A 16,805-nucleotide genomic window follows, 5' to 3' on the forward strand; every position below is an offset into this window, starting at 1 on the left:
ATTGATGAATCCTCCTTATCTTAGGGCTGGCTGGGGATATGGACCTCACAAGTGTTCCTACCAATATACATGTCCCTTTGGCTCTTTGTCCATCTGTCCCTCCATCCACCCATCATCTATGATCTCCCCACAACTGGGATCCTTCTGAGCAGGAATTCAGTCTGATTCATCTCAGGATTCCCAGCAACTCTTCTCGAGACTCGTGTCACGGAGGCCCAGCGCTCCCTGGGATGACGAGGAAAGTGCTGCTTTCTCTTGGCACTGCAGTGTGCACTGGAGACAGGGTGCTGAGAACACGGCCCATTTGCAGGGTTGGGTGCTGTAGAGGAACTCTTTAACTCATGTGACCCCAGGCTATCCTCTCCCAGTTTCCTGACCTCTTGGAAATCCCATAACAGCGGTGGGCAAGGGGGACACGGGTGGTCCAGCAATTAACAACTTTTCTGGTGTGTATGTGTGTATGTGTGTGTATTTGACTCTACAGGTCAGTTTTTGGGTTGTACGAGAAATTCTAACAGCACAGACTTTAAAAATAAGGGCAGAAATCCTCAGCCATTTTGTGAAAATAGCCAAGGTAAGCTTTTTATTATTATTTTTCCTTCCTTTCCCTCTTCTCTCCCACACCTCCTCCCCAAAAATATGTTTCCTCAGTACTTTGGGAGCTGCTTTGCTGTGGGCCTGCCAGGCACAGTTCAAACAGGGTGCTGTGGCTTGACTTCCCTAGGCAGAGCCAGCTGTTAGACCTGCCTGGGTGCTCACTAGCCCCCTAGCACCTTGTGCGCAAATTGGCAGCGTGCCCCACACCCTATAATTTTAGTGGCCAGCCATTCTCCTTACCTGGGCTTTCACAGTCTCTCCGCAAGGCAGGACCCAGAGGCTGCCCCTGGAATCCATTCATTCTCCTACTTTAGATTTAGCCAGTTCTGGGGGTTGATGGATTTTAGTTAGCATCAATGCTCAATGCTTGTGATATCATTACATCCTGCACAATATTGTCAGCAGTCAGCACACCCCACCCACCTCCCACTGAGCTTCAGGTCTGGGCCAGATGACTCTGCAGCCCCCCATCCCCACCTCCTGCCCCCGGCCTGATAGGTTCTGTCCTTGTTGGGAATCACCTTTTCCCTTCTTTTCCCTTATCTCTAGGAATGCTATGCCATCCCGTGGGCCATCCTGGAGTACTGTCACGCCCAGTAGCTCCTCCCCATACACTGGTTTCAACCACCCAGGCTTGCCTGACTCTCAGCCGCAGCATCGTGCTGGCTGTTTCGCTGCTTGCTTCATGTGTGCATGTGTTGTCTTCCCACCCAGGTCCTAGGAAAGCTGCCCTTTACGAGCCAGGCACCATGCTGTGGTCACCTGCTTTACTGACCTCATCATATTCAGTGCTCACATGATTATTATTCCATTTGCAGAGGAAGGAGAACTTAGAGAGGTGAAGTGTCCATGCTCAGGGCCCCATAGCCAGTCAGTGGTGGGCAGGAATCGGAGTCGTGCCTCTCTGCCTTCAGGGAAGCTGCTCTACTGGCCCTCATGGGCGGGTTAAGTGCATCATCTATTTATGTTAAGAGCAATGGCCACATTTACTTCCTATGCATTCTCCTGAAGTACTTGGAACTGGTGCTGGGCTTAATGATATTTGTTGCTGTCAATCAGTTCTGTTCTGGGCCACAAGAGAAAGTAGGATGTGGTTCCATTCCTCCTGGGCTGTCAGTTTGGAAATGTGTTTATGGTGCCCACCCATGGAATTCAAAATGATCCCTCCTTAATCTCTGCCATTTTCTGTGTGGCAGACTGTCATGCTGGCTCTGTGCCCTGGGTCTTTCCTTGTGCAAGCCCCTTCCTTTCTCTGGGCCTTGGTTTTCCCATCTATAAAATGAAAGGGGTGGGTTAGATAATTTCCAGAGCTGTGGGTTAGATAATTTCCAGAGCCCTTTCAGCTCTAAAAAGAAGTTCTGTGACAGGCATAACAATGCAGATACATAGAATGAAATTCAGTTCACTTAGAGAATCTATTCTTACACACAGGAAACAATTAGAGAATGTTACGAGATGTATGAAATGAAGTATTTAGCTCATGTGGTGAGAGAGAAATTTCCAAGTAGGAACAGAGTTGTGAGGACTAAGTATAAGGGCTTTTCCTTTCTTTATGCATTTCACTAGGCCCTACAATGTGCTGGGCACTGTACTGGGTACCAGAGACACCATGGTAGACAAAACTTTGTCCCTGCTCTCGGGAAACACACAGTCCAGGGTGAGAGAGAGGCAAGTAAAAAGCAAGTACAATCCAGTGTGCTACAGATATGCATGGACTTCTGTGGGGACACAGTCAGGAAAGACATATTAGAGGAAGGGGCAACTGAGCTTGGAAATACTTAAGTGACAGGGGTGGGCAAAGACAAGGCTGAGACTCATATTGTACTGAGCTCCTGCCCTGGGACCAGCCACTGGTCTAGGCAGTTGATATGTACTGTCTCATGTAGCAGAAGTGCCGTGATTGCCTTCTGCACTTTAAGGATGAGGACATCAAGGCTCAGAAGGATTAGGACACACAAGTAGTGGGAGCTGGGATTGGAACCAGGTCTTTTGATTCCATAGAGCGTGCCTAATAACCCAAACTTCATTGACTCCCAAGAAAGAGAAATGGCACCCCCGTCCTGTTAGCAGGTTTCTCTTAGCATAAAACCAGGAACAGAGCAGTCGCATTTTTCTGCACTTACACTCGACTGTGTCTCATTCTGTTTCCCTCCATGGTAAGAAACTTGTCTGAGACTGAATTGAATCCAAATGTTCTCACTAATTTGGGGTCTGGTTCAAAGGAACATGGTCAAGTGATGGGGAAGCCCGAGCATTGCCTTCCCAGCTGAGAGGGATTATGCAGATTGGTACCATCTTTCCTTGGCCTCTGTCTCCTTCTGGTGTTAAGATAATCATAGAAGACCCACATTGATGCTGTTGGCACAGTCGGGGTTTTAGTTTACAAAAGCCTGCTGGGACAGTATTCAGATTTGTCTAAAGAAAGAACGTAATGCACACTATCAAACCTTACCCCGTGCCACGTTTCTGTCCAGACTAGTCAGACTCACGTTTTAGATGCAGACTCACCTTTTGACAATTTAAGAGGAAAAAAGCATATGGTTTCTATGAAATCCTTAGAACTATGTTTTCCACATGAGATATTTTTAAGTGTAATTGAATTTCATAAATATGACATTTGGTAACACTTGAGCATGTTTTTGTTCTGTTGTTTATAGCAGCAAAATAATCTATTCCATATCTTTTTTTCAGAAACTTCTAGAACTCAACAACCTTCATTCTCTCATGTCTGTGGTATCAGCATTACAAAGTGCTCCCATCTTCAGGCTGACAAAAACCTGGGCTGTAAGTTAATCTCCCTAAGTCTATCTAATTTTGGCTATCATTTCATTGGTGAAGTTCTTCATTCCACAAGCCCCAGCCTTTCTCTTACTGTCTATACTTTGCCAACAACAGAGTTACTATGAGTTGATGACAGTTCTGTAGGCATCCTCACTCCGTCAGTGACCCCAGCCCCATTTTGGCACCAGGGAATGGTGAAGGTGCTGACGTGGCTGGGGTCAGAAGCCCCCAGAGTGGATCTTCCTGGACACCACGATGTCATGAGTGATGACCGGGTCAGCGGCATGACTTCTGCCCTCCACTTGGCTGGAATTTTTCTCTGGCAGGCTCCAAACTGTCCTTGGGAAGGTCTCTGGGCTGATGGTTCGCAGCTGCCCTGGGTCACTAGCCATACCGCTAAGTTTCTCTGGAGAAACCTGTGACCCCCGTGTAGGAAAAAACGGATTTTTTTCCTAAGGCCCTGGATAATTTCAGCTCAGAGGTGGAGTCTGATAGTTACATAATTGAGTCTGTAGGAAAGTTTTTCTGCTGTAAAAATACTTTAAAAATATCTCAGACCTCTTTATGCTCCTTCGCTTGGCATAGTGCCTGACATGGGGGAAGTAATTGCTATTTCCATAGCTCATTAGCATTCACCTCCTGGCCTGCCTGATCTGGGGTCTCTCACAGCCACACAGCGCAAGCCTTTTAAGACCTGTTTATATCCCACGGAACTGACAAAAACTGTATGGAATTGTCAGATGTGCTTCTGCAACTCATTTCCGAACTGCTTTCTGCCAGTCTGTGGGGCTGGGCTCTGTTTCCTACTTGGCTGGTTCAAGGGCTTTTAAAATACTCAGGGATTATGTTGTAGGTGATCGAAAATGAGCCTTGTTTCTTTAAATTGCTGTTTCCATAGATCTAGTCCTCGCAAAGTAGAGTGAGAAGTTTTAGCCCAGTGTCAGAAAACTGGGTTTGCATTCAGGTGCCATTCAGAGCATGACTTCTGTGCGACTTATTTTCTCATATCAACTCGGGGAGGTTGGCCTAGATTCTTGGTTTTCCATCAGTGCTTCGTGGAGTCCCAGGGGTTCCTTAGAGTTGCCTTGGGTGCCGCCAGGGGCTGAGAGAGTGGAGAGATGCTGCCAAGCAGGCAGTTTGGGCACTATTTCCACCAGAGCAGCTCTGTTTGTATCAGTTTTATGTACTGGACTTCTGGGTGAATTTCAACTGAGCAATGGCTTTGGAGGTCGAAAGCAAGTTTGGAAGCCACCGGTCTTAGCAGTTGCTGCCAGCCCTGTGATTCCAAGTCCATCTGACCAGTGAGGCTTTTTTTCAAAAGTTGCTTGGAGATTCTTTTTCAAATGAATTTTCCATCACTTAGATGCTGTTATTGTTTTTTGGACTGCCGGGAGCTATGTGAGGACCCAGCAGGATGATTTTTGAATCTTCTCATGATGCCTAGACTTTACTGTCAGTAATATTGTAACTCTCAACAATCCCTATAAGCTGTACAGTTGGTGGAGGCAGAGATAGTTAATACAGAGGGCTGGGTGTCTAAGGGTCTTGCGCAGAGATACGGTCCACTCAGTGATAGGGCCAGGCCCATGGATGAAGCGATGGTGTCCTCCAGGGGATGCTGTGTACTGCCAGGACAGTGGGCAGCAGCAGGTCACAGCAGTATCCAGGACCACTCTGTTTGGCTTGACAGGCCCTACTCAAGGTGGCTGGGTCTTCACTCCTGTTGATGGTTCTTTGCTGTAATGAAAATAAACCTCCAGGCCAGGTGCAGTGACTCACTCCTGTAATCCCAGTACTTTGGGAAGCTGGGGGTGGGAGGATCGCTTAAGGCCAGGAGTTTGAGACCAGCCTAGACAACATAGCAAGACCTCATCTCTGCAAATATTCACAAAATTAGCTGGGCATGGTAATGTGCACCTGTGTCACAGCTACGCAGGAGACTGAGGCAGGAAGGTCCCTTGAGCCCAGGAATTCAAGGCAGCAGTGAACTATGATTATGCCACTGCCCTCCAGGTTGGGTGACAAAGACCCCATCTCTGAAAAAGAGAGAGAGATTGATTGAGAGAGAGAGAGAGAGAGAGAGAGAGAGAGAGAGAGAGAGAGAAGAAATCTCCTTGGGGAGCCTGGAATGGAATTTGCACCCAGGACCCATTCAAAGGTGTGGGCATATTCACCTAGCTCCCTTCCAGGCCATCTGGGTTGTGTTCTTCCTCACACATATGCCAAGATAAAAGCATGTGGCAGGCACTGCCCTAAATGCTTTTTCTATCTATCTATCTGTCTGTCTGTCTGTCTGTCTGTCTGACAAGGTCTCACTCTGTCACCCAGCTGGAGTGCAGTGGCCTGAACACAGCTCACTGTAGCCTCAGCCTCTTGGGCTCAAGCAATCCTCCCACCTCAGCCTCCTGAGTAGTTGGGACTACAGGCCATACCACCACATCCAACTAATTTTTAAGTTTTCTGTAGAGATGGTGCCTTGCTATGTTGCCCAGGCTGGTCTCAAACTTCTGGGCTCAAGCAGTCCTCCTGCTTCAGCCTCCCAAACTGTTAGGATTACAGGTGTCAGCTTTTATACCTGGCCCCTAAACACTTTACATATATTAACCATTTTGTTCTGACAGCTACCCATTGAGATAGGCACTGTTACTATTGTCATTTATAGATGAGGAAACAGACACAGAAAGGTAGAGTGGTTTATGCAGGGTCCCACAGCTAAGTGGCAGGGCTAGGATCAAACCTAAGCAGCCTGGCTCCAGAATCCATGCTCTTAACCACCATACCCCACTGAACAAAAAAGACAATTCCAGCTTACTCCCTGTCAGCCAAAACAAGAGAGGGGTCTTATTTTTTTATTTTTGTTTTTGTTTTCCCTTTTGTAACATAAGTATTGCATTAGGAACTTGAAAATAAGGTTGGTAGACTACCAGTGCCTCCCAGGCCTTTGGGTCTCTGTCTTGGGTGTGGCTGCTGCTGGCCTGGCACCTGGTTGCTGGAGTGCAGCAGAAAGAGCAGTCAGAGGAGGGCCTGTCAGGGAGGGGATGTGCAGCCAATGAGCCAGAGAGCTGCAGCAGGACTTTGAAGGCTGCCCTGCAAATGCCTTCTGGCCACTGATTCCTTGGATTGATTGTTTATACCATGGCTTCTGTTGCTCCTCTACTTCCCTGGGTTGGCTCCTGTCTTTGCACCTCAGTTGGCATTTAGCTGGTGGGGAAGAGGAAGATGCCAGGGAACTAAGATTACATGTCACCTTGCTGGGGACTCAGGGAAACAACATGTCCCTGTTCCTATTCTGAGAAACCTCCCTATTGTGTCCTAAGGGCTGAGCCAGGGCTCTTTCCCTGGTTACAGAGAGCCACTTACCAGAGCAAAAGGTGGGTAGATGCAGCATCCCAGGAAATAAGAATGGCAACTGCCACAGTATTGTGTCAGGGAGAGAGGAGGTGATACACACTGTGTGGATTACAGCATGAGGTCTCCAAGGTCACTTGTGGGGTAGCTGCTTGTTCTTGGTGAACCCACTATTCAGCCTTTGTTTTAGATCAGACTCTCCCCTCTCACTCACTCACATGTCTTGTTAATCCAAGGACTACATTTGGCATAGAACATTTAGGAAACAGAGGGGGCCAAACTCATCATCTTTTTCTTTCATCCAAATCACCCCCAGCCCCAGTGGAATGGCAGACTCCACTGTCTGTATTCTTGATGCACCTGTCTGGTAACAGCACGCAGGGTGGAGCATGCACCGACTCTGCAGTTTTGTTTATAGGTCTGCCTCCCCCTTTTGACTGCATTCCTCATCGATGATGTTGATTTTTCTCTGTATCCTTGGTGCCCAGCCACTATACATTTGTTGTTTGAATTGTATGTGTTGTCCTGAGTTGCATTGCATCCTTCTTTTGCTGTTAATTTCTGGTATGAGATGGCCATAGAAATGTTGCCCAAAGAGAGCTGTTTCCTCTCTGCTCACTTGTCCTTTGAGTTGGGACTGGGGAGACCTCATGTGCCACAGAGTAGGGAGGTGCAGGTGGCATTGGAAGAACCAGCCATAACATCCCCAAAGGTCAGTGCTATGATAGTTTTTGTTTTGTAGAGGAGGAAACTGAGGTTTGAAGAGATAGAATGACTTGTTCAAGATCCAGAGCTGGTGAGTGACAGAACCAGCATGACACAGCCTTGTCCTGCTGGAATCCACAGTCCGTCTTCTTGGCGGGTATGCTGGATGGCTTGCTAATGGCAAGAACCTGTGAGAGAATCAGGCTGGGCACAGGGCAGGGACAAATAGACACCTACACTGCTTGGGAAATGGGGCTAGAGAAATGCAGCTAGCACACAGGGCCTGGGGACAGGGCAGGCCAGCTCTCTGTGCCATCCCTGTGGGTTGCACTGAAAGCCTGAATATCTGGGAAACCTGGTGGAAGGGAGTTACAGGTGTGGGAGGATACCTGCCACTTGGCTGCATCACGGATGACTTCCAGAGAATTGGCCATTAAGCTAGGGCAGGGCGTCCTGTTGGCCTCTCCATGGGTGGCTGCTAAGTGCTAGCTGCTGGGTGAGCTGCACAGGACCGACTGACACTGAACATAGGCCTGTACACAGTAGGCCCTTAATAAATGCCATCTGCATACACAAACAGGAAGACTACCATAGCTGGCCTGGAAAAATGCAGATGGGTAATGATTTATCCCAGCACTGGGACCACTTTGGAATATTGGCTCCCTTAAAGCCATGAAACCTAAGCAAGAAGTTGTAGCAGCCATTTCTGATTTCCTGAGTACACATCACCGTGTGGCTGTTATTCATTCTGCAAATCAAACATTTCTCAAATGTCAGGCCCTGAAGCCATAGTCAAGGCCCCTGTCCTCATGGGCTTTCATGTTGGGGAGAATAAACATGTGCCTAGTCTGGCTGGCACAAGAAGTGATCAATAAATGTTTATTGAATACATGAAGTGATCAGCAAAGAGCTGTCAAATTGGAAGAAAAGCGATGCAGAATACATGACAGAGAATGACTGAGTGTCTGCTTTAGTGTGGTGTTAGAGAAGGCCTTGCTTCCCTAGTGTCATGCTAAAGTACAGGCCTAACGTAGATTCAGGCCATGTACTTTCAGTCAAGGCCTGAATGACAAAAAAGAACCAGTCGTGCCAAGATGAGGGGATGAGTGTTCCAGGCAGAGGAGATGGCTGGTGCAAAGCCCTGCACAGGAATCAGCTTGCTGTGAGCAAGGAACTCAGAGGTCAGTGTGGCCAGAGCTCAGCGTGCCAGGAGGAGATGGATGTGAGAGGCAGTGACTGGGCAGCGGGGCCAATCATGTAGGGCTCAAAGCCTGAGAGAGGAGTTAGATTCTATTCCAAGTGCACTGAAGGATTTTAAACAGGAGGCGGACACAATCTGGCTTCCAGTTGCTCTTTGGTTTTTGTGTTTTTAATTACTGTTGCTACTGTGTGGAAAACAAACTGGGTGGGGGATGGGGACCAAGAGTGGAAACTGGGGGCCTACTCAGCAGGTTAGGGCAGAATTCAGGAGCAAGGGGATGTTGGCAGGATCAGGGTATGGCTGGGGATATGAGAACAGCAGGCTGATATCGGATATGTTGGGGAGAGCTGACAGATTGTGTGCTGGATGAGATGTCGAGATGAAGAGAAGAGAATGAGGGGTGAGTCCTAGGTTTTGGGCCTGAGCAACTGAGAAGCTAATGAAACCTTTTCTTTGATTAGAGTGATCTCAAGAGGAGACTGACTGCTTTGTGAGTGATCTAAGGGTATGGAATTCCTAGCATATGGATGAGTCACTCATTATAGTAATTACAGTCAGGTGCTAGACATGCCACGTGTGCGCATGTACATAAACACACACATACCCCACACGTGTGCACACATACGTACATTCTCTTCTTGCTCTGTGCATGTTCCCAGAGTGATTTGCTCTTTCCTACTGAATTGATCCAAAGAGTTTGACTCATTTGCAGCAGCATTGTGAAAATTGAAATTCTTGGCAGGCAGGAAATCATAGCTGATGGGTCAGGAGACCTGGTCTGGAGGGTGGTGACCTGGGAGGGGAACTATCCTGGGAGTGGGGCTCTTACTCCTAGATATCTGGGGACACAGTCATTGAGCTCTGCAATTCAGAGAATTGCTCCTTGTACCAAAAGAACTAAGGCCACTTTGCAAATATCACAGGACGGCAGATGTATGACATTCAGATACTTTGGAGTTCAAAGTCTTTCATCCAGGAAGTGCCCTTTGCCCCCTTTGACTGATGCAGTGCCTCAGTAGCCACCCTCTGATGTTGTTGAGAAGGTGGTGATAGGCCTGAGCTGCTTTTTGGAGGCATTTCTGAGCATTTGGTCAGGTGGGAGGTGAGTCAGATGAGGCGATAAGGAGATAGATGCAGAGGAAACCAACATTTGTAGCCCTCACTCACACATCCTCATCATTCCTCATAGCCTGGCTTGGAACTGCTTCTCAGAAGATCTCAGTCAAATCTGCTGACATTTGCACCCTCATCTTCCTTGACATTGCTACAACAATGGACACTGTTCATAACTCCCTTCTTGAAAAATCTCTTTTCCCTTGGCTTAATTTTCTTCCTCTTGACTTCTTTTGTTGCTATGGATGTGGATGTTCTGCAAGGCTGTGACCTCTCCACCTTCCCTGATCCATTTGCTATCCCTTGGTGGTCTCATCTGCTTGGGGAGCTTCAAGTGTCACCTCCTGTACCCCAGTGATGGCTGGCTTTTCAGTTATAGCCCTGATCTCTCTCCTGCACCCTAGAACCCTGTTCCAGCTGTCTGCTGCATAGATCCCTCTGCTTGCATGTTCCTTTGACAGCTCACACTTGGCATGTCTGAAATCAAACTTTGGTTTCCAGGAAGATGATGGTGAGTGCCAGAAGACTCTCTTAACAGACTGTGTTTTAGGCTCTTAGGCAGTATGGTAGACTGAGAAATAAGCCTCTCCCTCCCAGTCTCCTGCTTCAAACACACAAACACAAGTTCTGGATAAAATACAACCAAATTAAAAAACCAACAAGCAAAGCTAAATTAGAAGCCAAGAAAGGGAAGTCACCATGTGTTAAAAATAAAGTGCTCTCAGAGTCAAAACAGTGAGCAGAGTTCAGAGAAACTGCTGTGTATAAGCCTTTGCAGCTGGGAGCTAGGGTTGTAATGCCTGCACAGAGAGGAGAGTCCGGCTGCCCACACATGGGGGGCTGTAATTCAGCTACCCGTAGAAATCAGAGAGACACGTCAGGTATTGCTGCATCAAAAAGTCCCTCTCCAGCCTAGGAGAGCCCCAAGGGAGCATGAGTGGAAAAACTCATCTGTGAGAAATTGTCACCCTAGCCTGAACCTCATGCAGCGAAGGGATCTGAATACATGTTACATATGACCTGCATTTGTGTGGGGACCTCAGACCAAGAAATGAGGGGCATGGAGATTGAGAGCATAGCCTCTTAAATCAGACACCTGGGTTGAGCCCTGGGCTTACCTCTTACAATGAGGATTAAATGAGTAAATACATGAAAAAATGTTTAGAACTATGCCTGACTCATATTGAGGGGTTGGTAAGTATTACCTGTTGTTGTTGTTGTTGTTGTTGTTGTTGTTGTTATTAATATTTTCAACTCTTCTTGACTATTCTCGAATGGGTTGGCAGAGGCTTCCATCCTTGTATGACAGGGCCTTTTACTTATGGCCTGAACTGTCATCCTCTTTCAGCTGGTCCCATTGCTTTGGGACTTGCTGTCTCTGGGCCACCCTCACACCGTTACTGGAGTGATCTCTCCAAAACATACCTTCAAGGTTTTCACATCCCTGGTTAAAGATAGTTTTTAGTGTTCTCCCTCAACCCCTCGTCCACCTTGCTAGGATGGGGGCTGTGTGCCATCGCTCCTTCAGAGCAGCATTGTGCTCAGATACAACCATTCCGACACCAGTTTTTCTTTTTGATCTGCCATTTGAGCATTTATTTCACCTTCAGTTTTATGATAATAATATTTTGTCAGCCAGTCTTTAACCATCATGTGGATTTCCAACCCTGTATTTCAGTGATGCCTCTGAGTGAAGGAAAGAGACTGAGCTAGAATGAGAGAGAGAATTGGTCTGTCCTCGTGAGTGTTTCTGAGAGAGACTTGCATCTAGGGATGTGGCACATGATGAAAGCTGGTGGCTGCTGAGTGTCTTGCAGAGTGCTGAGGACATAATAGACGCATTTTGACATTGGCAGCAAACACCAGAAGATTTCATACCTACTTCCTGACCCTAAAAAACAAACCATACACCTTTCAGCTGTGGCCAGCAGTGCATCTGCTACCACCAGCAGCACAGCAACTCAGAGCCCCAAGTCATGTGTGCAAGAGATGCTAGAGTTGGCCTGAGGAATTTTCTGTTAAAACATGGCCATAATCAACTCATTCTTTTCGATTTGCTGTTCATGCTTAGCAGTTTGTGATTGGTACCCTGTTTGCAAGTTGAGCTGAAGTATCTGGAAAAGTAGAATAAGCAGTCAAAATGGTGTTCACATGCCTATGGCATCCAAATGGCCAAGTCAAAACCACACTTTGTCCAAAGGTGAGTTTCCATCTCTCCAGTCTTTTCTAGTCTTACGCAAAGCAACACTTACCTCCACTTTAGCCAAACTACTGTTTCCTTGAACATCCCTTGTATGCCCACCTCCAGGCCCGTGCTCATGCCTTTTGTGGCCTCGGGTCCTCTCCAGCCCCATCTGTGCTTGTTGAAATCCCTCTAGACTTGTTTTCAGGACTACCTCTTCCTGCAGTTCCTTCTTTGGGTAATAGAGTTTGTTCTTCCCCTAGAGAGCCCTTTCCTATGTAGTGTTCCTGATTCTTCCTTGCTAAACCAGGTTGAACAAATGAGATGTATATTTGGTGCCTGACTCTCTGCCCACCGCCAGACCAGATCTGGACCCTGAATGGGCCCTTGGCAAACTTATATCAGGGGATCGATCTCAACCTCCCAGCTCTCTACTCTTGGGTCTTTGTGGGAATATCTGCTGGGTTGCCATGGTTGGAATAAAAAAATTAACAACATTATTAGAAATAAATGAGAAAATTATCCTACAGGATTGTGTATGTATGTGCATATGCATGTGATTGGATACATGTATGTATATGTGTGTGTGTGTAACTGTTTAAGGATTTTTTTGTTGTTTTTTTTTGTTTTGAGACGGAGTCTCGCTCTGTCACCCAGGCTGGAGTGCAGTGGCGCGATCTTGACTCACTGCAAGCTCCGCCTCCCAGGTTCACACCATTCTCTTGCCTCAGCCTCTCAAGTAGCTGGGACTACAGGCGCCCACCACCATGCCCGGCTAATTTTTTGTATTTTTTAGTAGAGACGGGGTTTCACCGTGTTTGCCAGGATGGTCTCGATCTCCTGACCTTGTGATCCACCCACCTCAGCCTCCCAAAGTGCTGGGATTAGAGGTGTGAGCTGCCGCGCCCGGCCAAGGATGATTTTTTAAAAAGATAAAATCATGACTCATACAAATATAAGATGAATACTTGTCAAAGGTTTTATTTAACTCATTGATTAAGAGAGAACCAGTAAGATATTACAACCGTATCAAAAGAGAAGCTAGAGTACTACACTTTTATAATCAGGTAAGGAAGGCTAAAATCACATTTAAAATTGGTATGAAATTAGTCAGTATTCCCATGGTGATAATCAGTAGCATTTTATGAGGCATAATTTGCCTTTCCGTAGACAGGAATTATTTATATTACTACATTTTCTACAAATTAACTTCTGTCTGTACAGGGTTTAAAATAGCTTTAGTCAAAGACAAACATGGACAGCTAGCCAGCACACCACTAAATTTCAGTTACAGTTTTTCCTTGTGTTACATGCGATAGTCTCCATTGCATCTAATATTTTATATTAGGTATGTGACTTTGTAGTTTTTTATTTTTCAGAAATGGGTATTTTGCATCCAGAGAAGTAAAAAATTATTTTAAAAATTCCAGTTCATTTCCTTACTGATTCCATACCTTAGTCTGCTGAATCCATTGGTCCATAGATTATCCACAACACTAAAAATTCTTTGCATATCAACAGTAGACACTGGAATTGAAATGGAATTTTGAGCCAATTTTAACATATTTGGAGCAACAGTCTCTTTGCTAAAAAATATTTCCATGTATCAAGAAATATTATTCTCTCGAGGCAAGGGAACAAGACACCAAAGTCCTCATAAAGAAAATTTGGAGAAATTTTTTTCTCCTCCATGGAGACAACTTCCAGATTTGAACTGCTTTACTAGAAAGGGGAGTGGTGGTATGATCAGTCAAATACAAGTGCCACATACAAGGTACTCAGAGCATGATGGGAAATTTCCAAAAGCCACCCACTTCTTCAGATATTTCTCCAAGATTTGTGACCTTCCTGGCTTTTGACCTCGTGGTTTGTGAGTCCCATTTACCCTTTCTACCATGAAAATGATTCAAAATTAATAAGCAGGGACTTTGTTTTTACCTTATAAATTAATTCATTTTGCATATGTGGTTATAGCCCCTTTCTCAGTCCTATGTTGTATATTTTTGCTTTTTATTAGAAATTTTACCTATTTTATTGATATTTTATAAAAATTAGCTCTTAGATTTAGTTATCATTTCTATAGGTTTGATATTTAGCTTTTTTTAGTTTGATGGTTTGTTTTTTAACATGCCAATTTTGTCATTGATTTCTTTCTCCAGTTTTCCCACTATTTTCTTAGCTTGTTGAGTTGAATATTTAGTTCATTTATATTAGTTCTTGTTTAATAATAAATGAGTTTAAAGCCACAAATTTTCCTCCTAATGTGCTTTTGGCCTCATCACATAGTTTAACGTATAGTATTCTAATTATGTACGGCTTGTAAATAGTCCATTATCTTGGCTTTTATTTGGTCTTTTGCCCAAGAATTATTTGAATATTCAAAATTTTCCAAGTAATTGGGTTTTTCAGTTATTATTGTTATTTTTCTCATTATTCTTTTATGCAGCAAATATTTTGGCAGTGTTTCCTCTGTGTCAGGAATCATACCAGATGCAGGGAACAGTAGAGTGGATGCAGCCAGCATGGTCAGCCTCCTCCTGGAGTCCATAATTTGTTGAGGGAGACAGAAATGTTATCATACAGGCAAGCACAATCATGATCAGTATTATGGAAGAAAATCCCAGGGTGCCCCAAGACTTCTAAACTTTACTAGAAGTGAAGCTAGACTTAGTGAAATGTTCTTTAACCTTACTTTCTTATCTCTTTTCTTGAACAAGAATGGTTTTAGTATCTGTTTGACTCTGGGTAAGCAGACAATTTACTTTCTTCTATGTAGTTCTGATGGTTTCTTCCTGAGGCTTCCCATAAACTCCAAAATCTAAGGGACCCTCAAGTTCAGATGAGGTTTGCAGTTTATAGTTCTTGTAATGAAAGCTTAAAACATGTGAGTAAATGCTGTTATTTTCTGAGTAAACAAACCCTATATTTAAAAAATTAAACCTAAAAAACTTATTATCAGCATTACATGCACGTGAATTTTAAAAATCACTAAGTACTGAAAGGTTTAGTGAAACAACTAACATTCGTCACTCATCTCTCCACACCCCAATTATTCCCCAGAGGCAACCACTTTCAGTTTATTGGCTTCTTCTAGTAGTTTCTGCCATATACTTACCAATGTGCTTTTGCTACAGTTTCTTGACCCATCTGCTTTAGACAGCATCTGGTGACTTCTTTGTATGGTAGATGTTGGTTTAGTTTTCCTGAACCACCTTCCCTTGTTCCTCAAACACATTCATCATTATAGTGAAATCACTTTTGTTAAATGAATATTTGGTGTTTTAATGATTAGGAATGAGTAAATATGCGTCACTATATAGTCAAGTAGTAAACTATGAATAACATGTCCTTCCTTGAATATTTTGTCATTTCCCTGGATTTATTTATTTTTTTGTTTTGTTTTTGGTTTTGGTTTTGTTTGTTTTGTTCTTGTTTTGTTTTGGTTTGTTTGGTTTTGTTTGTTTGTTTTTTGTTTTTTTGTTTTGGGTCTTTCTATTGCCCAGGCTGGAGTGTAATAGCTCATAGCTCACTGCAACCTTGAACTCCTGGGCTCAAGCAATCCTCCCGCCACAGCCTCCTGAATAGCTGGGACTACAAGTGTGCACCACCATGCCCAGCTAATTTTTTTAATTATTATTATTTTTTTGAGACAGAGTCTCACTCTGTGGCCTAGACTAGAATGCAGTGGCCCACCCTTGGCTCACTGCAACCTTCGCATCCCGGGTTCAAGGAATTCTCCTGCCTCAGCCTTCTGAGTAGCTGGGATTACAGGCGCACACCACCAGGCCTGGCTAATTTTTGTATTTTTAGTAAAGATGGGGTTTCACCATGTTGGTCAGGCTGGTCTCAGACTCCTGACCTCATGATCTGCCCACCTCAACCTCCCAAATTGCTGGGATTACAGGCGTGAGCCACTGTGCCCGGCCTTAAAATATTTTTGTAGAAATGACATCTTGCTATGTTGCCCAGGCTGGTATCAAACTCCTGGCCTCCCAAAGTAGTGAAATGATAGTTGTAAGCTACCATGCCCTACCTATTTTTCTGGAATTTCTAATTGCCTTAAAAAACTTTTTCTTATCCTATCTACCAGATATCTAAGTAATCCTAAAATTATTTTATGTTTATTTTTTATTATATATAATAAATATGTCTATCCCCTCCCCTCCATGTGCCATCATGTCAGGTTTTTAATCAAGCCTTCTTTTTCTCTGGGGACATCTCTTCCAGGGCTGATCCAGTGTGCACCAGTTGTTCTTAAGGCCTGCTATTCATTGGTCATCCTGGAATCTCCCTTTGCTACTCCTGGATTGGATCCACAATTTCCTGTTTCCCATGTCTTACTAATTCCTGGCTTATTCCTGCATTTATCTAGAGGAAATTCTCAGTTTTCAAATACATCATCGGAAATACATGTTTAGGGTTTTCTGATGTCTTCTAGTGACTTATGCACTATTCTTGAGAAATCTGATACTGTCTGAGTCTCATTTGTAGGCACAGAAGGGAGCAGATGAGTAAAGTTAACTAGATTTAGCCCTTCTGAATGTCTGTGTGAGTGTGTGGGGCAAGTTGGGGATGAGGCATAGAAGATAGGCTGATCAGCTCTGAGGTGCTGTCCATACAGGCACTTGACAGGCTGGGCAGGTAGGCTGGGCATGGCAGGGAACATGGGCAGTCCCCCAGCTGAGACCAGAGAACCAGTGGCCTGAGCCCTGGGAGCCAGCTTGGCCCAGGCACAGTGTGTGTGAGGAGGACATCCAGATTTGTTTAATGGCTGGCATTGCCAAACAAGTAAGGGGTTCTAGGTTGTATTAATAAAGAATGACCTCCTGAATAAGGGGCGTGAGTGGTCGGCTTAACAACGGAGCAGTTCTTTGGCCG

General features: G+C 45.0%; 1 protein-coding gene across 55 annotated transcripts in view; it reads left to right on the forward strand.

The window, feature by feature from the left end:
• Positions 1 to 16,805, forward strand: part of RALGPS1 (Ral GEF with PH domain and SH3 binding motif 1) — a 308,385-nt gene that overhangs the window by 134,777 nt on the left and 156,803 nt on the right. For 33 of the 55 annotated variants that reach the window (XM_011519233.2, XM_047424120.1, NM_001322321.2 and 30 more), the window contains 2 exons: positions 485 to 574; positions 3,289 to 3,381. The exons of 6 other annotated variants lie outside the window; for them this stretch is intronic. In XM_011519233.2, the coding sequence (XP_011517535.1) occupies positions 485 to 574; positions 3,289 to 3,381 (183 nt within the window). The remainder of the gene's footprint in view (positions 1 to 484; positions 575 to 3,288; positions 3,382 to 16,805) is intronic. 16 more of the 55 variants (XM_047424127.1, XM_047424125.1, XM_047424129.1 and 13 more) reach the window with 1 other exon arrangement.

This window comes from Homo sapiens, chromosome 9 (genome assembly GCF_000001405.40).
Source record: "Homo sapiens chromosome 9, GRCh38.p14 Primary Assembly".
Lineage (NCBI taxonomy): Eukaryota > Metazoa > Chordata > Mammalia > Primates > Hominidae > Homo > Homo sapiens.